This window comes from Homo sapiens, chromosome 11 (genome assembly GCF_000001405.40).
Source record: "Homo sapiens chromosome 11, GRCh38.p14 Primary Assembly".
NCBI classification, from domain to species: domain Eukaryota; kingdom Metazoa; phylum Chordata; class Mammalia; order Primates; family Hominidae; genus Homo; species Homo sapiens.
This window is the reverse complement of record NC_000011.10, coordinates 58,902,729-58,920,962: the sequence shown is the minus strand read 5'-3', so window position 1 is coordinate 58,920,962 and position 18,234 is coordinate 58,902,729. Positions and strand designations below refer to the sequence as shown.

The 18,234-nt window shown below is 43.3% G+C and overlaps 2 protein-coding genes across 5 annotated transcripts in view, besides 1 other annotated feature; one reads left to right on the top strand and one right to left on the bottom strand.

Moving 5' to 3' along the window:
* The window catches only part of GLYATL1 (glycine-N-acyltransferase like 1), a 50,926-nt gene extending 35,444 nt beyond the window's left edge, over positions 1–15,482 (bottom strand). For 2 of the 4 annotated variants that reach the window (NM_001389714.2, NM_001389718.2), the window contains exon 1: positions 15,302–15,482. The gene's annotated coding sequence lies outside the window, so the exon portion shown is untranslated. Of the gene's footprint in view, positions 1–13,407; positions 13,723–14,870; positions 14,943–15,301 lie in introns of those variants that run through there. The other 2 variants (NM_001354699.4, NM_001389717.2) reach the window with 2 other exon arrangements.
* The window catches only part of GLYATL2 (glycine-N-acyltransferase like 2), a 75,764-nt gene continuing 68,664 nt past the window's right edge, over positions 11,135–18,234 (top strand). Inside the window, exon 1 of the mRNA XM_017017338.3 lies at positions 11,135–15,936. The gene's annotated coding sequence lies outside the window, so the exon portion shown is untranslated. The remainder of the gene's footprint in view (positions 15,937–18,234) is intronic.
* Positions 15,080–15,579: an enhancer, noted in NCBI's record as "H3K4me1 hESC enhancer chr11:58672857-58673356 (GRCh37/hg19 assembly coordinates)". NCBI's record gives its function as "activates a minimal SCP1, AML or CMV promoter by ChIP-STARR-seq in naive H9 embryonic stem cells {active_cell/tissue: H9 hESC(naive)}" and the evidence as "EXISTENCE:reporter gene assay evidence [ECO:0000049][PMID:30033119]".

Sequence of the window (18,234 nt, the reverse complement as noted above, 5' to 3'; positions counted from 1 at the left end):
GAGTCCTGACTCAAGTCATAGGATCTTGGCATCGCCTGGTGGCATACTTGTCCAGGCAACTAGAATCTGTGGTGCTTGGATGGCCTACTTGTTTCAATGTGCTAACTGCCACTGCCCTACTGGTGCAAGAAGATAATAAACTGACTTTATGGCAGCAACTGAAAATCCGGGTACCGCACTCAGTTATAACTTTGATGGACCAAAGGGGACACCTTAGGTTATCACATCCAAAAATGACTCGATACCAAGGGCTTCTATGTGAGAATCCCAGCATAGCTTTAGAGACTGTGAACACCCTAAACCTGGCTACCTTTCTCTCCATCTTGTCAGTGCCAGGAAGCCCCCTTTAGTCCTGTGTGGATATGGTAGATTAAGTGTTCTCAAGCCAGAGAGATTTGACAGATCAGCCCCTCGGAGACCCGGACATTGAGTATTTTACTGATTTGAGCAGTTTCATACTAGAGGGAGTACGCCAAGAGGGGCATGCAGTGGTGACTTTGGACTCAGTAGTAGAGGTGCAGTTTTTGCCTACTGGAACTTCTGCTCAGAAGGCAGAGCTGACAGCTCTGACAAGAGTTCTCTGACTAGCAAAATACCTAAAAGCAAATTTTTAACCACACTCCAAATATGCTTTTGCCACTTTCCATGTTCATGGGACTATTTACAAAGAAAGAGAACTCTTTCTTTCCTCCTGCAGTTGCAGGAGGAAATAAACTAAAATACAAGGAAGAAATTCTACAGCTCTTAGACACTGTATGGGCCCGGAAACAGGTGGCAGTATTGCACTACAAAGGGCACCAAAAATCAGGAACACTAGAAGCTAAAGGAACAGGAAGGCAGACAAAGAGGCAAAACAGGCAGCAATGGCAGCTCTGCCTTCTAGAGAGAAAGCCTTAGCTATGCCTCCCCTCTGGGAGATCCTCCTCCCGGAGACCCCAAGCTACATTTCAAATGAAAGGGCCTGGTTTGCCCAAAAAACTGGGAAATACATTGAGGGAGAATGGTGGAAAACCTTTGATGGGAAGCTAGCCATACCTGAAATGGTGGCCCCCAGGTTTGTGAAACAGTTCCACCGAGGAACTCATATGGGAAAAATGGCACAAGAAACATTGCTAGGATGACATTTCTATGTGCCATGGCTCACTGCCATTACCTGAGCCATTTGTGAACAATGTCTAACTTGTGCCGAGAACAACCCTCAGCAGGGGCCTACCCGAACCCCGGGAATTCAAGAAATTTAAGCCACATCCTGTGAAAATTTGCTTCTGGATTTTAATGAGCTGCTTCAGGCAGGAGGCTATTGGTACATGTTGGTGTTTATTTGTACCTTTTCGGGGTTGTTTGAGGCTTTCCCCACCCAGACAGAGAAGAAACGAGAGGTAACCAAGGTGTTGTTAAAAGACATTATTCCCAGATTTGGACTACCCCTGACTCTGGGGTCAGACAATGAACCAGCATTGGTGGCTGAAATAGTTCATTACTGAACTTGGCTATTAAAAATAAAATGGAAGTTACACACAGCCTACCGGCCACAGAGCTCAAGAAAAGTGGAGCACATGAACTGGACACTCAAGCAGCTGCTGAAGAAATTTTGTTAGGAAACTCATCTGAGGTGGGATCAGGTCTTGCCCATGGTCCTCCTCCAAGTCAGGTGTGCCCACGCCAAACAAACTGGGTATTCACCCTAGGAGAACTTATTCAGCCGGCCACCTGAATTATATGTCAGATTAAAGGTGATCTCTGTGAGCTAGGAGAACTAATTTTAAGGAGGCAAATGCAGGCTTTAGGTATGGCCATGCCAAAAGTACATGGCTGGGTGCAGGAAAGAATGCCTATAAGTCTGACAGACACTGTATACCGTTTCAAACCTGGTGATTCTGTTTGGGTTAAGAAATGTAATCCAACCACATTAGGACCCATATGGGATGGGCCCCATCCTGTAATCTTGTCCACTCCAACTGCTGTTCAAGTTACAGGAACCGTGCTTGGATCCACTACAGTTAGCTGAAACTAGCAGCCCAGGACAAGTGGACCAGCCAGGAGTACCCAGACCATCTGAACCAGCTGATAATGCCATGAGACCGAGATGTCACTGAGGACCACAACAGCCTTGCTCTGGTCACTCCAGAAGCTAACCATTCCACACATGGCAAAACCTTGATAAAACAGCAAGCCCTGCTCTAGTCACTCTGGAAGCTGACTAGTCTATGCACAGCCGAAGCTTGCAGAGTCACCATCAAATGAGTAAATGTGGCCAGAAATTTTAGGCCCAATAACTTTCCTTATATTATTAATTATACTTCCATTATTCTGTTGCTTTGGCCAACCCCCTCCCCTGGGAAAACACCTCTTCTGCCCATTCTGGGTGTAAGAATGCTAATCTTTGCTTTACCTTTGATGGCAACCATATCTATGCTATAAGGAGAAGAGCTCATAGAAGGATGCCCTCCCTGCATGCATACTACATGGAAAGGAAACACAGTAGTTAAGACTTTACTATACCATACTTACTATGAGTGCAGGAACCCACCTAGGAACCTGCATGCACAACCAGACAACCTAACAAATTGCTGCCTAGAAATCAATGACAATGGGAAAGCCATTATAGAAATGACTGCCAAGATGTGAAAATTAGCTCATGTTACAGTCCAAACCTGGAAACCAGGATGGTCTGCAGATTCCCTCTTAGGAGGTTGGTTTTCATTCTTTGGTGGATTTAAAATATTAATAGAAGTGGTGCTGGCTATATTAGGAGGTTGCTTAAGACTCCCTTGCCTCTTGCTCCTTCTTACCAGGAGCATCCAATCAACCATAGAAGTCCTAGTAGACAAAACAACCACCACTCAACTAATGGCTCTAACTAAGTATCAGCATTTGCCAAAGAGAGTAGATCTGCCTTGTCAGTGAAGAAAAAAATTGTAGTGAAGCTTTCTATTAAATTCCATTTATAGGAAGCATCAAAGGGGGGAAATGAGGCAGGAAATTAAAGAAAGAAAGAAAAATAAAATTTAAAAGAGCAAAACATGCTTTCTATATTAGGCTGAATCATCCCAAAGGCAGTAACAGGCAAAACCTGGACCCAGGTGAAGTCTTGATAACATTATCTAAGAAGCCAGGACTGAAAGGAATGTGCTCTGGAGACTTCCAGCATTCCCTCCACAAAGGGAGAAGAAAACAAATTTTCCTTTCCCCCATGATATGAGTAAACTTATGAGTTTATAGATTTCTGTTTTCTGTAACTAGTAACTTCAAGTATCCTGTTTTTATCTATGCAGCAAGTGAAGGTCATGAGATGCCTGAGTAGGCAGGCCTGGACTGCAGCCATCTAGGCACCATAGCAAAAGTTATGAGATAAGCCCATGCAAAGCACTAGAGCAAGCCTGGATAACAGCCATCTAGGCTGTATAGCAAGAGTCACATGTAATCCTGAGTTATACACCTGTCACAACTTGATTAACTGCCTTTCTTCTGCCTCTGTATCCTTGCTTGCATGCCACTACGTTTTTGCCACCGTAAACTTATTTCAAGCTAGCCCACCTTAGAAGCGTGTATAAAAGTCAAGTGCTGTCTTTGTTCTGGGACCAGTGTTTGGCTGTTAATCTGCTGGGTCTGAGTGCACTCAGTAAAAATCCTCCTGTTTAACTCTGTGGTCTCTCTGGTCCTCCTTCATTCCCACAGCAATCAAAGACAGCCTTGCAGAGCCCCAGGGGAGTCAAGGGGAGGAGCAGGCTGGCAAGGAGAGAGATGCCCCAGGTCTGAAGGAGTGATGTAGAAGACAGGATCTGTTGGCTGGGAACCTAAGGATGATTCACACTCACTTCCTAGAACTGAATCAAAAGGAAAATCCCACCTCTCCACAATCAAGTAACAAAAGGATCAGAGGCTACTCCTTTTGCAAATCATGCCACCAATTCCCACTTTCCACTGCATTGCAGATGAAAAACGGAAAGTACTTCTGGATGGTCCCCTTCAACAACCAATCAAACTGCTTGTGGGCCACTATATGATTTATGTAGGATGTAAACAAACTAACCAATGAGAAACCTCTAGAGGATATTTAAAACCCAGAAAATTCTGCAACCAGTGCTCTCGAGCCCCTTTCTCAAGCCTGCTCCCACTCTGTGGAGTGTACTTTCACATCAATAAATCTATGCTTACATTGCTTCATTCTTTTGTTGCTTTGTTTGTACCTTTTTACCAATTCTTTCTTTAAAATGCCAAGAACAAGGACAACTTGTAGTCAAGACCATCCACTGGTAACAGGAGGAGGACTGGGGAGTCACTCCCTCACTTCCAAACCTCAGAGGAAGGCTTTGACTGGGGAGCAGATTCCTTGAGGGCCAGGACAGGGTCTGAGGTGGACTGAGGATTCAGTGCCAGTCCCAGATTGCACTGTGAAGCCTCTGTGGGAGGTAGCAGGGTCCAGAGGGTGGAAGCACACATCCAGGCTCTGCTACTATTACCACCCACTGTGTGACCTTGGGCTACTTGTTTAACATCTCTGAGCTGTGCTTGGTAAGTGAGATAATATATGTAAAAGGCCAGGCTCTTATGGGGAGACTTGGTAAGTGTGAAGGCAGTAGAACCATATGGGGTAATCGTACTTTCAGCCCTAAAGGAGGATGTAAAAATCTGCACTCCTCCTAATCTCCTCAGAAGCTATCAGAGAAGCAAACATGTCAAACAAATGTAATTCTTCTTTCTACAGTTTGATGGGACCTGAGATCTTAAGGAGGCACTACAGAAAAGTCACCATGCCAAAAGAGTGAAAGTGGCAGTACAGGAGGCAGTACAGAAAAGTCCCCATTCCAAAAAAGACTGGAAGAGGAAGGAGAGTCTAGGGACAGCAAATTCCAACTAAAACATGTCTCTTCCTTTCCAAGGTTGTGGGAAAGTATGTGGTAGTGGTGGTGGGTTTTCTGCTAAAGGTATAGCAAGATCTGTAACTAAATAGGGTAAATCAAATTATCTGGCTCATTCAGAGAGGCAGGCAGCCCACCTGTGACTTTACCTAAAGACATTCAAAGCAACTTAACAAGTTTCGTTTCCCTCTAGAGTGAGAAAGAGGGACGGTTACAATTGTGTGTGCATCTCCCACTGAGATGTTCACCTGATTCTATCACTGCTTCAGAGACCTGGTAAAAATCCTGGGACTTGACAAATGGAGAAACGGATGCCCAGTTCCAGCAGGGCTTTGCTCATGGCCTCTCACATTCAGTATCTATTGGAGAGCAAGGATTCCACCTGCCTGGCAGTCCCAATCGGTGTCTGAGTTCTTGCCATCATTCTGCATCAGAATCACCTGGGGGTTTCTTGAAACACAGATTGCTGAGCCCTAACCCACAGGATATGACTTAATATATCTGAGGTGAGTCTTCAGATTGTGTTGATCTTGCTGGCCCAGGGGCCAGGCTTTGAGAATTCCTGAGTTAAGGCAAAGAGCAGCTGGCCAGGCCCAGCTACCTTAGCTCCTCTCTACTCTGAGACCTTCCCTTGATGGCCCCCAACTACCTTCCCCTCAGTCATTCTAGAATCCACTCACTCTTCCATCTATAGCTCTGGGATCCAGAAGAGGGGCTCACATGGGAAAGGAGGACCCGGCTCTGTTGAAGGTCCCTTCACTGAGCCTTAGAAAACTCTGTGGGATGGACTTTCTGGGACACAGCATTTCACCTCACCAGGAGGAGACTGTCTAGAATTAAAATCAGAATAAATTACTGAATTGGGTAATCTGCACTTACTGTATGCCTTCTAAGAGTTTATGTGTGACTGGCAGGCATATTTGGAGATATTGTTATGCTTTGTTGGTAAGAATAGAAGAATTTTGAATCAGCAGAATTTAGAGCAACATGTTCTGTCAGCAAGATAGCTAGAGAAACAGAAATGACTGAGGAATAATAAAGGGGAAATGACTAAGGGCCAGGACAGGAGCCAGAGCCTAGGTGTAATCTGAGCTGAGATTCTAAGATTTTGGAGTCTCCTACATACTGCCTCTGTCTTGAAGCCTTGGGGCGCAGCTGGAATTGACCACATCCACTGCACTCCCACAGTGAGATTACTCTCAATCCCTAGCAAAATAGCCAGAAAGGCAAATAATGCACCAGAAGGTACATATCCTAGTGAGACAGAGTAGGGACAGGACTTGCCTCCACCCCCATAATGCATTTTTCTCCACCCACTGACTACCAGACCTTGAACTTCCACTGGTGCCATCCTCACTGGCTGGAATACCATAAAGAAACTAAGATAAGAAGCATTCTATCATAATTCTCATTCAAGGGAGTTAATCCTATCACCTCCATGCACACAGGACCAGAACAATGACCAATCTTTACCCTTTGCCTCATTATCATATGGAAATCCCCACCCAGGGAGGGATTTGTCTACCATTTTTTGATCATGCGATGTAAGTACTAACATGATATCTCACCGGGCCTGCACACTCTACACTCCTCCCAACCCATGTAATGATATTAGCTTACCTTATGCTTCTCATGTTAACTTTCTTAAAACACCAAAAAGACCTGTCTTTGGGGAGCCATCCGGAGACCTCTGACTCTACTGCTGACTCCCATGTATTCAAGCATAAGCCCCTAATAAAGCCTTGTCTGGGAAACTCACTTGGCCTTGTGTCAATTTCTATTGCATGGGAGACTAAAAACTTGTGGCTGGTAACACAAGAAACAGAAAGTTTTAGTGTCATGGATGCCACAACAGTGGCAGAGGTGTGGAATTGGATGAGAGGGTGGGACCTGCAGGTGTTAAAAGCAGAAACAGCATGGGTATGAGTGGTGGGGTCTGGAACAGCACAGAACCTTCCTATTCCTTAGCTTTCTCTACCTTTTCTCCAGATTGTAACAGAACCAAACCTTGTGTTTCCCTGACCCCTACATCTAAGCCTGGCCAGGGTTGGGAAAAGAAGAATAGCATAAAGAGAGAGAAAGTGGCCCATATCCTATCCCTCTGACCACTCTTGCCTCATGAGGAAAACCCAGGCATGTTCCTTAGAGAGTTCCAAGTTTAATGGAAGGGACACAGGTACTGATTAGTGAGTCAACAAGCACTAGACCTACTGGTCAGTCAACAAGCACCCTCCCACCTCTGAACCTTTGTACTTGCTGCTTCCTCTGTCTTCAGTGTTCTTCCTCAATATATTTCCATCTAAGACTCACCTGCTCACTCCTTTGAGGTCTCAGATATCACCTTATCAGAGAAGCCAACTATGACCACTTCCAAAACAGCCTCCTCCATTCTCTTTTCCCTTCTGCCCATATCAAAACAGACACACATATGTGCATGCACACACACACAATTTATTTTTCCCTTCTCCCTCTATGGTGTCAGCTCCAAGAGAACATGAATATCACTGTATTAACTGGTATATCCTTGGTGCCTGTGACATACCAGGCAAGTAGTTTTGTAAGAAGTGTTCATTGAATAAGTGATCAAAGTGATTGAATATCTACTATGTACTCACCACTGTGCTGGCCAATGAGAGACGAGGAAGAAAAAGGCAAAGTTCCTGTCAGTGTTAAAGTGCTTGGGTTTTAGTTTCAAAACCCACTTGTCATTTCTCCTCCCTCTCTGGCCTCCACAGTTTAAGCCCTACATCCTCCATCTTTCATTTCCTTCACACCTCTCATCCACTCCATCTGCTCCTCTCTACCCCTCCAGCTCCCAGCCTCAGGCCACTCCAGGCCCCCTCCCTTTTAGCCTGGATGCCTGTGGAATAGCCTCCACTCTCAACTCCTCTGCCCCTTCAAGCATCTTCCCATCCCCTCTTTTCCAAGGCCTATGAGAGTGGAGTGTTCTGGCCCCTGTCCACCCCTCCCTCTGCCCCATCTCCTGCTGCTCAGCTCCTCTCCCCTTGATCCCAGCTACATTGCTCACTCAGGCCCTGGACAAAAAGCCCTAGCCAGTCTCAGGGCTTGTGTACTCACCATTCTGTATGGCCTTCCATTGGATGTCTTCAGGGCCTCCTCAGAGGCCTCTCAAATTCCCCAGCCAGAGTAGCACTCCCAGGCACACACTTGCCACTTTCTCTTACCTTTGTATGTTCTTGATCCACTAGCAAAACTTTTCTATTTGTGTGTTTCCTGGATAATCTATTTCCCTGTTTAAAACGTAAGGTCCACAAGAGCTGGGACTCTGCCCCTCTTTCACATGCCCAGTCCCTAAAGTGGGAGCTGGTCAATAAAGTTTGCTGACTGAGGGGCCAGGCTTCAAATGCATTCAGAACAAATACCTCCCCTCTGTTTTCTGTCAAATTGGAAAACATTTCCCTCCCAGTGGTGAGACTCCCATAAGACGTAAATAAAGTACCTGGCAGACTGTCACATCTGGCATACAAAAGTCCCAATAACTTATTATCTTGACCATCCAGTTTTCAGAGGGCTCTAAGTCTGGGGGTCTCCGATGGAGACATGAGTACATCTGTGCAGAGCTTTTGTCTGGGGAGGGAGATTCCAGTGCTGGAGGTTTATCCTTTGAGGATTTTAGGGAGTGTGGAGGAAGCAAGGGTTTCTGGTCAAAGGGGCAAGACAGTGCAGACACACTCCAGAGACCCAGAAGCAAAAGCAGGAAGTCTGCTAGGAGGAGCCACTAACAGTTGACTGGACAATCTTAAAGCTGCATGATGCCAGGATGACTAACCTTCTTTGTCACTCATGCCTTGTACTTCTGATCTTTCTAGTTCTTGCCTTGTCTCCTGGCCTTGGAGAGAGTAATGCACAAGTCACATTGCCCCTTCAAACCCCAATCCCTGCTGTACCTTCATTTACCAGGTTTGCCTATTCTCCCAGATGCCCTCCAGCAAAAGAAATTAAACAAGACAAAAATAAATGGAGAATATACTTGTTCAAGATTGGAAGACTCAACATTCTTAAGATGCTAATCATCCACAATTGAGTTAATTTTTTACACAATGAACACACAATTTACACAAACACACAAAATTTGACCCAGATATCACACCATACAAAAAAAAACTTAAATCAATCACAGACTTAAATATAAAACTATAAAACTTCTGGAAGAAAACTTAGAAATGATTTTTGTGATCTTAGATTTAGCAGAGTTCTCTGATGTAAACAACAAAAGCATGATCCGCAAAGAGAAATAAACATATAAAGTAAACTTCATCAAAATTGAAAACTTTTCCCTCCCAAAACAGAACCAAGAGGATGAAAAGACAAGCCATGGAGAGATAAGAATCAGCAAATATCACAAATATTATGAGAAAAGCAATATAACAAAGGACTTGTTTCCAAAATATGTAAAGCCCTCTCAAAACTCAGATATAACTAACCAGTATAAAAATGGGCAAAATATTTTAATAGACATTTCACCAAAGAAGATATGTGGATGATATAAGAACATAAAAAGATGCTCAAATTATTGGTCATTAGTGTAATGCAAATACTACAAAAAGATGCCATTACATACCTATGAGAATGAAAGAATCAGAAAAGCTTTGTGTTGACAAGTATATGAAACAACTGGAACTCTCACACATTGGTAGCGAGGATGCAAAATTATACAGCCATTTTGAAAACATTTTGAAGATTTTGACAATTTCTTATAAAGTTAAACATACACTTTCCATGAAAGCAATTCCACTGCTAGGTGAACTCAAGAGAAATGAAAATTAACCTTCATACAAAAACCTGTATGCAAATGTTCCCAACAGCTTTATTTACAAAGCCCCCAAACTGGATACAATTCAAATGTTCTTCAGTGAGTGAATGGATAAACAGATTTTGATACATTCACACAGTGGAATGTTACTCAGCAATAGAAAAGAAAAACCTATCAATGCATGCAACAATACTCATGAATCTTAAATGGAATGTTCTGAGTGAAAGAAGCCATGCTCAAAGGGTATAATTCAGTCTATGTTCCATTTACATGATGTTCTGGAAAAGGCAACACTAGAGTAACGAAGAGATTAGTGGTTGCCAGGGACTGGGGTGAATAGGGGATAAGTGGGGAGCACAGGGAATTATTTAGAGTGATGGAACCACACAAGGAATTAGTAAGGGTGATAAAACTGCTTTGCTTCTTGAATTTGGTCTTGGTTACATGACTGTAGGTGTTTGTCATAAGCCATTGAACTGTATACTCAGAAGACTGAATTTTACTATGAAATAAATAAATGTAAACGAAACAATAAAAGTTAAAGTCTTTCAAATAATCTGTAAGACAATCAATTGGGCATGGGGATTTTTGTGCTCATTTCTATCATCGTTTTTTGTAACTTCTACTGTTTCTAAATTTTTATTCCCTTGCTTTGTTGCCTCCATCATTTTTCCCTCTCATTCTATTTTCTCCACAAACAGTTTGGCAGTTTTACACTCTAGTTCTGTTCTATAAGTGGATGCCGTAGACTAGTACTACCTAATAGCATATCTGCAGTGATGGAAATGTTCTACATCTGTATTGTCTAATACCACAGCCACATGTATTTCTTAAGTATTTGATATGTGATTAGTGCAAATGAGAATTTGTATTATTCACCTTTTTCATTATTTGATTTTAGTTAAGTTTAATTTAAATAATCACATGTGATTATGGCAACTGTCTTGAACAAAATAGCCTAGGCATTTTATCATTAATATTTAACTTAACAAAGTCTAAAGTGAGTTGAAGAACTCCTCCTAAGCAATACAAAGATAAAGTCTGTAAACACGTCTCCTTTATTTACAGAAGAAAATCCAGAAACCTACACATGGAATTCAAAGAAGGAAAAGATACTGCAGCTATTTTCCAGAAAGCTATTCTACCCCTCTCCCACTTTTTAGGAGCCATAATGTATGGAAATAAATTCATGCCAGTTTAAGAATATCTGTAAGTGCCCTCTCAGTCACAGGGTTTTGTGCAGGAATGGGTGAGCTACTTAAGTTGGGACAATTAGATGGCAAGAGAAGTTTCCTTAGAAAACCAGGATAGACTCATTATTGGGAGAATAAAACATCTGATATTACTGCAGCTCTGTTTGCCACTATGCAGGAAGCCAGCCAGGGAATAATATGAAAAGCAGAACATAGAGACCGAACACACAAACAAGCCGTTGAAGAAATTGTATAAAACTGAATTAAGAGCTCTGCTGAATTCTGGAATATCCACTCATGTGAACAAATGAATCCATTTTATTGTTTCATTATTAGAAAATATTTTTACCAGCAATATGGAGAGCTCTTATTGATAGAAAGCCTTCTGAGATCTTGGCACCACACTACCTTACCAGTCTAGAAAGCATTATTTGCCTACTACATTATTGAATTCTCCTTATATACCATCAAATGCAGCTGTCTTATTCGCCAAATATATTTTCACGTGTACATGACTTTATTCAGGCCATTCCTTCATCCTTGATACACAAGTGAAATGTTATTCATTCTTTTAAAAGAATAAATTAGTTTTAGACATACAGAATGCGTAACTAATGTACATAATTAATGTATGCAACTTGATGAGTGTGGAGATACATTATCACCAGAATCTATGACATCAACCTATCTATCACCTCCAAAAGTCTCATCCATTCTGCCCTCATTTATTACTTTTGTAATAAGAACACTTAACATAAGATCTATCATTTTAGCAATAATTTAAGTATACAATATTGTTAACTATAGGCACCATGCTGTACAGATCTTGAGAACTTATTCACCTTGTATAAGGAAACTCTGTACCCCTTGACTAATACCTCTGTTTTCCTCTCTTCCCAGCCCCTGACAACCACTTCTACATCTATGAGTTTGACAATTTTAGATTTATTATTCATTAGGATCTGTCTCATATGACACTGCTTTAATTTCTTAAGTCTGAATTAAGAATTCTTCTCTCTGTACTCTAAAATCACTTGTTTATGTCTCAATTTAGTATTATCATTTTCCATATTTTGAACAAAATAGTGTGGGTCAAAAACCAGCCTCTGCAGTCTGATGGCCTGGGTTCAGATCCTTGCTCTGAAGTTCGTTATTTCTGCAACTATAAGGAAGCTGAGCTTCAGTTTCTTTTTTGGAAAATAAGGATGATAATATTACCTACTGCATAATAATATTAAGTGTTAAATGAGATAATTCAAATGATGGAACACAATTCTAGGCACACAGTGTTTCCTCAGGAAACATTAGCTAATTATTTTTGCCTGTGTGTACTTTCCATGATTTTAAGTGTCCATATTGTTTGTTACTCATCTTGTTGTCTTAAGACATGTTTATCATTGTTAACTCATACCCTATCATTTTGCTTTACACAAGCACTTATGTGTATGAGCTCCCCAAATATATTTTAAACAGCCTAAGATAAGGACTTATAACTATTATTCTTTAGGAATTTATCTCCAAGAATCTGAATTGGCACCACGGTTAGACTATCTCTCCAGTGAGGAGTTGTAAAAAAGTAGATATGCCTTTGAAACTTCAGGTCTAGCCCTCTGGTCATCCTCTGTAGCACTAAATGACTTGTTCCCTTCAGTCTTCATGGAATTCATGATGAGTTCAAAGACAATATAACTAACTTCTACTAGTGGAAAAAATGGAGAACCAAGGATTGAATTTATTCTGCCACCTTAAATGTCTAAAAAAACAAAAAAACAAGATCTATGAAATAACCACTTTCAAACACTGGACATCAGGCTGTGTGGGATCTCATCTCTGATATCTGAGAAGAAAATCATATGCGGTAACCCCTATGGCTATCTAGCTTACTGTATGGCATTTCCAAGGCATATCTCAGGGAGGGGAAACAGGCAGAACCTGGCAGTTTCCCTGAGTTGAGAAGACAAGCTGGGAGTTGTGGGAGGCCAAGATGACTGGAGCCTGTATGGCAGAGTACTAGGATGAAGAGCGCCACAGGAGCACAGAGGATCAGAGATGTGCAGTGGGCAACCCTTGAGATTTCAGCTTGGTCAATGCATGAGTATAATGAAACTGTTGAAAAGGAACAGGAAAAGAACTATCGGAAAGGAGCAGATGTAACAATTTCTGAGGCTCATACAGGACAGAAAATGGTTTCAGTTCCCCAAAATCCGACTAGAAAACTTCATAATTCATGAAGTATCAGGGAGACTACTCAGAAAGTATTGCTTCCATAGTGGGACAACATTAGCCCTTGTTCTGGTCCCACCTAACAAATAAATGCAAGCTTTGAAAGTATGAAATGGTTTCCATGTAAAATAACAACGTACTGGAACAAAGCTCAAGAATATTGATAGGAATGTAAAAATTTTTGGCACCCAAAGTTGTGAAATTAACAAAGCTTGATATCTAGTCAAAAATCAGGAAGTATTTAAAACGTGGAAAAAATATGACCCACAATGACTAGAAACATCAGTGAATAGAGACAGATCCAGAAGTGAGAGAGATGATAGAACTAGTAGTCAGGAACATTAAAAGTCATTACCTTGAATTTCTGGCCAAAATGGAGTAACAGGGACTGGATTTTCCCCTAGCCTGAAAACAAAACAAAACAAAACAAACAAAAAAGAGCGAAATACATGAAATAATGGTTTGCAAGGAACTAGACATCATGCAATTAAAGATGGTGACAACTGAGATGCGTCCTAAATTCCACTCCAGCAGACTACCGTGAGGGATTCCAGGCCAGTGTCGCAAGGAAGGGCAGCAAGACAAAGACAATTGGAAGTCCAGATTTCAGAAGACAAAGCTGAGAGACCAAGGTGACAAGAGATCACAGGCCACAAACCTGGCGGGTGACCTGCAGAGGCAGAGAGAGAGAGACAGAAAACTCAGGATATATGAAGAGGTTTCCCCTAAAGTATTCAACTGTGTACTGATCAGAGCCCCGGCTGAGAAAACTTTCCAAGGCCAGGAAAGAACCACCCTAAAACTATTATGGTGTAACTTTCCTCCAACCCTCTCCCTGTACCTCTGTTAGGGATCCCCATTTCCTCATTTCTAAATTAAGGAGTTTGGCTCAGATCAACCTTTTATTGTTCCTGTGAATTGGCTCCTCTGAGCTTTTTAAAAAAGGATTCCACATCCCACCTTCACAGACTCTGATTCAGTATGTCGGGGTGTAGCTATGGAATCTGCACTTTTACCTGCCTCATCCCACAACCCCCGCCTCAAATGAGCACCGCGTTGTTTAAACAACCGTCTATGTGGCCACAGAATGACCTCAATGCTTTCCTAAAACTCCAGAACCTATGAAGGTAACCTGTGCTTGCAGCTGTGCTTGCTTACAGAAACAAAGGCTGGATGTCAGTAACCACCGTGCTACAAGATGGGAAAGAGCTCAGCAGCGCTACCCTAACATGAATCTTTGCTAATTACCATACCTAAATCTCTGCCCCGGGGAGAAATGCACCTTGCTAGGCACATGTAGTGCTGTGGTGCAACAGAAAGAATGAGACTGCCACATTCAGGTCTTCCTGGAAAGCCCCACCTCTTTCCAGGAATCCTTGTCCTCAGTCTCCACCTAGGAGTCCTAAAAGACCTTAAAAAGCACCCCCTCACTACACCCCAGGAACTTTGAACAGGAGCTCTCCTGTTCCATTCCCTGATCAGTGAATAAAGTTTCTGCTCTGCTTAACCGAACCTGGTCTCATTCTATGGGTGCAAAGGGCACCAGGGAAGGAAAGGATCCACCAGGGTCAAACGACACTCTTGAGATTCAGGAACACCCAGACGATCTCCATGTATCTTTTCAGGAGTAACACTCTTGGCCTTTGAAGCTGAGAGGCAGGAAGGGAATTACCACAACGGGCGGGGCCCAGCTCCCCATCCAAAACCTCCTTGGTTTTGGGCTGAGATCCTTCTGTCTACTGCCCCTGCCGGCCATCCACCTAACTCCGGGTCCGACCCAGAACCAGAAAAACCACTCAAAGAACCGGCGAGCCTGACCAGACAGTGCACGTGCTAGTGCCCGCTGCTCCCGATTCGCAGGTGTTGGGAAGACTTCTCTCTTGCCTGTCTAAGCTGAACTTTTCCCGCCTGGAAGAGCAGGCTGGCGCGCGGGAGGGAGCCTGGGAATTGACACTCTCGCTGGCCAATGGACGAAGAGTCTCTGGAGGCTGTTTTCTCTCATTGGATGGAAATGATTCATCCTCTCATCCACTTTGGAAGCTAATTCGCATCACTCCAGACAGTGATTGAAGAGAGGAAAAGGGATGAGAGTGCACGCCTGGGCGCACGCGCTCGCGGGCGGGTCAGACGGCCAGGCCGAGGGGACTGCGCGCCCACCCGCCCACCCTCCCTATTTGTCCAGATGACCCATCCCGGTCCCAGCGATCCCCTCCCCCGAACCACTCGGTCCACAGCCAGTTCCCGCGTACCAGGATAAACTAAGCAGTCACTGCCCTGCTTCTTCCTGCTCATCGGCGTCCCCTGTCTCCCAGTGGAAGCCAAGGAGGGGTTGCGCGGCAGCCGGGTGGGTATGGGAGATGCCTGGCGGTTTCGCGCTTTTTCCGCCTTTTGATTGCGAGTGGGAGCAGCGCGCTGAGGAGAGCTGCAAGGGGAATAGCCCGCCAAGGTGCTTCGGTGTGTGGCCATTGCTGCCCTTCTGCCGCTGATGGGTCGGCGGCGGTGGCGGGACGTGCATCCAGGCGGGATCCAGCGGCAGCAGCAGAGAGAGCTCCACCCTGATGATGCAGAGGCCCAGCTTCCAGCTGACTGCAAGTCGCAGAGCAGGCTGCACCCGCGTCTGCGTGAGGTCTAGAGGGACTTGGCCTGCTCCGCAAATGATCCAACTTCGTGGAGGGGCTGGCGAACACAGACAATGCCAGTCTGGACGAGGAAGGGGCCAGCACTGCTTAGGCCTGTTTCCCAGGACGCGCATTACTGGGTGCGGAACTTTACCCCTCAGATGAAGAGTATTTAGGCCTGTTTCCCAGGAGGCGCATTACTGGGTGTGGAACTTTACCCTTCGGATGAAGACTCCAGAGTTGGGTATCTCCAAAGTGATAATCAAGTAAGTGCTTTGCATGGGGCTTGAGAAAACATCTTACTGTTTAAGAACAGAACGTCTTACTGTCTAAGAACATGAATAGAAGGAGATGCCTTCAGTATTGAGTGTTATTTTTGAGAAGTTGGTCAAAGAAGGGGAGAAGATGGTGGATTAATAGATGATGGTGAAAATTATTTTGTAACTCATAGAAGGACAGATGTTTATGTAAAAGTTGATAGTTTTGGTGGAATCATGAGCATGTTTCTGAACTTAATGTAAAATACACAGAGACTCCTGAAATCACTTAAATTACACGGGTCTTGTGGTGTTTGGAAAGAGCAAACTTTAGAAGTGTAATTGTAAAAATAATATCAAACAGAAACAGGGAAGAGAAAAACGTAAAGACAGCTTTCTCAAATCGCTGTTATTCTTGAATCATCTGAAAGCAGTGCACATGACTGGCACTAATATGCATCGGAGAGTAAATCATTGCACAAGGAGACTTGATCTTCTTTTCATTGTAGAATCTGGAGGAAAAAAGCTGTTAAAAGCAAGAGGTGGTAGAGAATAGTATTGTCGAAAGTTTCTGACATCACTGGAGATAGAGAATTTTCCCTGGAAAAAAGTGCTCCTTAGGGAGGAGCATCTGCACATTCCATTAGCATAAAGCACCTGGTCGGCCATATGAAGAAGTCTGGATTTTGTTATAAATATGAAATTTATTTTAAATGGAGGATTTGTAGCAAGGAGTAATATAACCTGACATATTTTTAAAAATCTCTCTGGCAGCTGCGTGGGGGACAAACTCTAGGAGGACAATAGGAGGTGTGGAAGGGAGAAGATGGCTAAGAGTATATCCCAGGATTGCAAAGATGTCGGAGCCCAGCCTCAGACGGTAATGGTGGAGGTGTTAGAAAATGCTGAATTCCACATTTATTTTGAAGGGCGAGCCCATGGAATTGGCTTGTGAATGGGGTTTTCCATAAATAAGAGAAAAAGAGAGCTCAATATGATTCTTGGGCTTTTGACTTGAGCAACTAGAAAGATAAAGTCTGCATTAAGTGATATGGGGAAGTCTGAGGAAGGAGATGCTGTGTGTGCCAGGAGTGATGAGTGTGTCAGTAATTCTACTTTTGATATATTGACTTGGAGATACTAATCCACTCCAACTGAAAAATAAGGAGAGAAGTGGACACTCAACACATGCGGGTGAATGCCCAGAGAGCCTTAAGAAGGGGCAAGAGGCTGAACTTGGGAGAGAAGAGCATAGATCAAAATAAAAGACACACAAAAGGAGAAAGAGAGGGAAACTAGGACTTATGATGGTAATGTTGGCCATTAACTGAGAATTATTTTATTTTATTTTATTTTGTTTTTTGAGACAGAGTCTTGTTTTATTGCCCAGGCTGGAGTGCAGTGTTACAATCTCAGTTCACTGTAAGCTCAACCTCCTGGGTTTAGGTGATTCTCATGCCTCAGCCTCCTGAGCAGCTGGTATTACAAGTGCCTGTCACCACGCCCGGATACTTTTTGTATTTTTAATAGAGATGGAGTTTCACCATGTTGGCAAGTCTGGGGTCGAACTCCTGACCTCAGGTGCTCTGCTTGCCTCAGCCTTCCAATGTGCTGTGGTTACAGATATGAGCCACTGCACCAGGCCTGAGAAATATAATTAAAGTACAGGGAAAATTAAAAGGGAGAAGAAAGTTCACAGAGAGAGATCATGGCAAATGATAAATACAAAATCCTGCCTTGTTTCCCAGATTCCCTGTGTCTTAGGTGCCCTGTATTTTACCTCCCCTTGAACCACTCTTGTCCCTTTGTAATGGTACTCCAAGCAGCACTGCTGTACACCAATTCCAGAGCTTCCCTGCTCCTTGAGCCTAGGAATAGCTATGCTTCTAATTCCTCTTCATTTGCTCATCATTGGAGTAACAGCTGAACCACACAATTGGAATAAGTAACCTGACGTCATTTTTAGTACCAATCTTCCATTTCTTCCTTAAGTATAAAAGTGACCCTCACAGAGAAACTAACTACCTAGAGCTATAGGTCCAGAGTAGAGCTCTAGCTTTGATTTTCCTTTTGCAGCTATGGTCTGAGAGCTTGGATGCAATCCACTGCAATTTGATATCAGTGACAGGGTAGGGATGCTCAGGGAATCTGTTGAGCCACCAAGGAAGCCTCACTTTCAGCTAATGCTTACATGGGGCTGTGGAAGTTGTCCAGCATCCCTGAGGACAGAGTGTTTGCCCTGAAAAAGAACATTCCCTTGGCAGAAAGCATCTTGTTGGCTGGATTTTATTATAAATGTGATGAGAA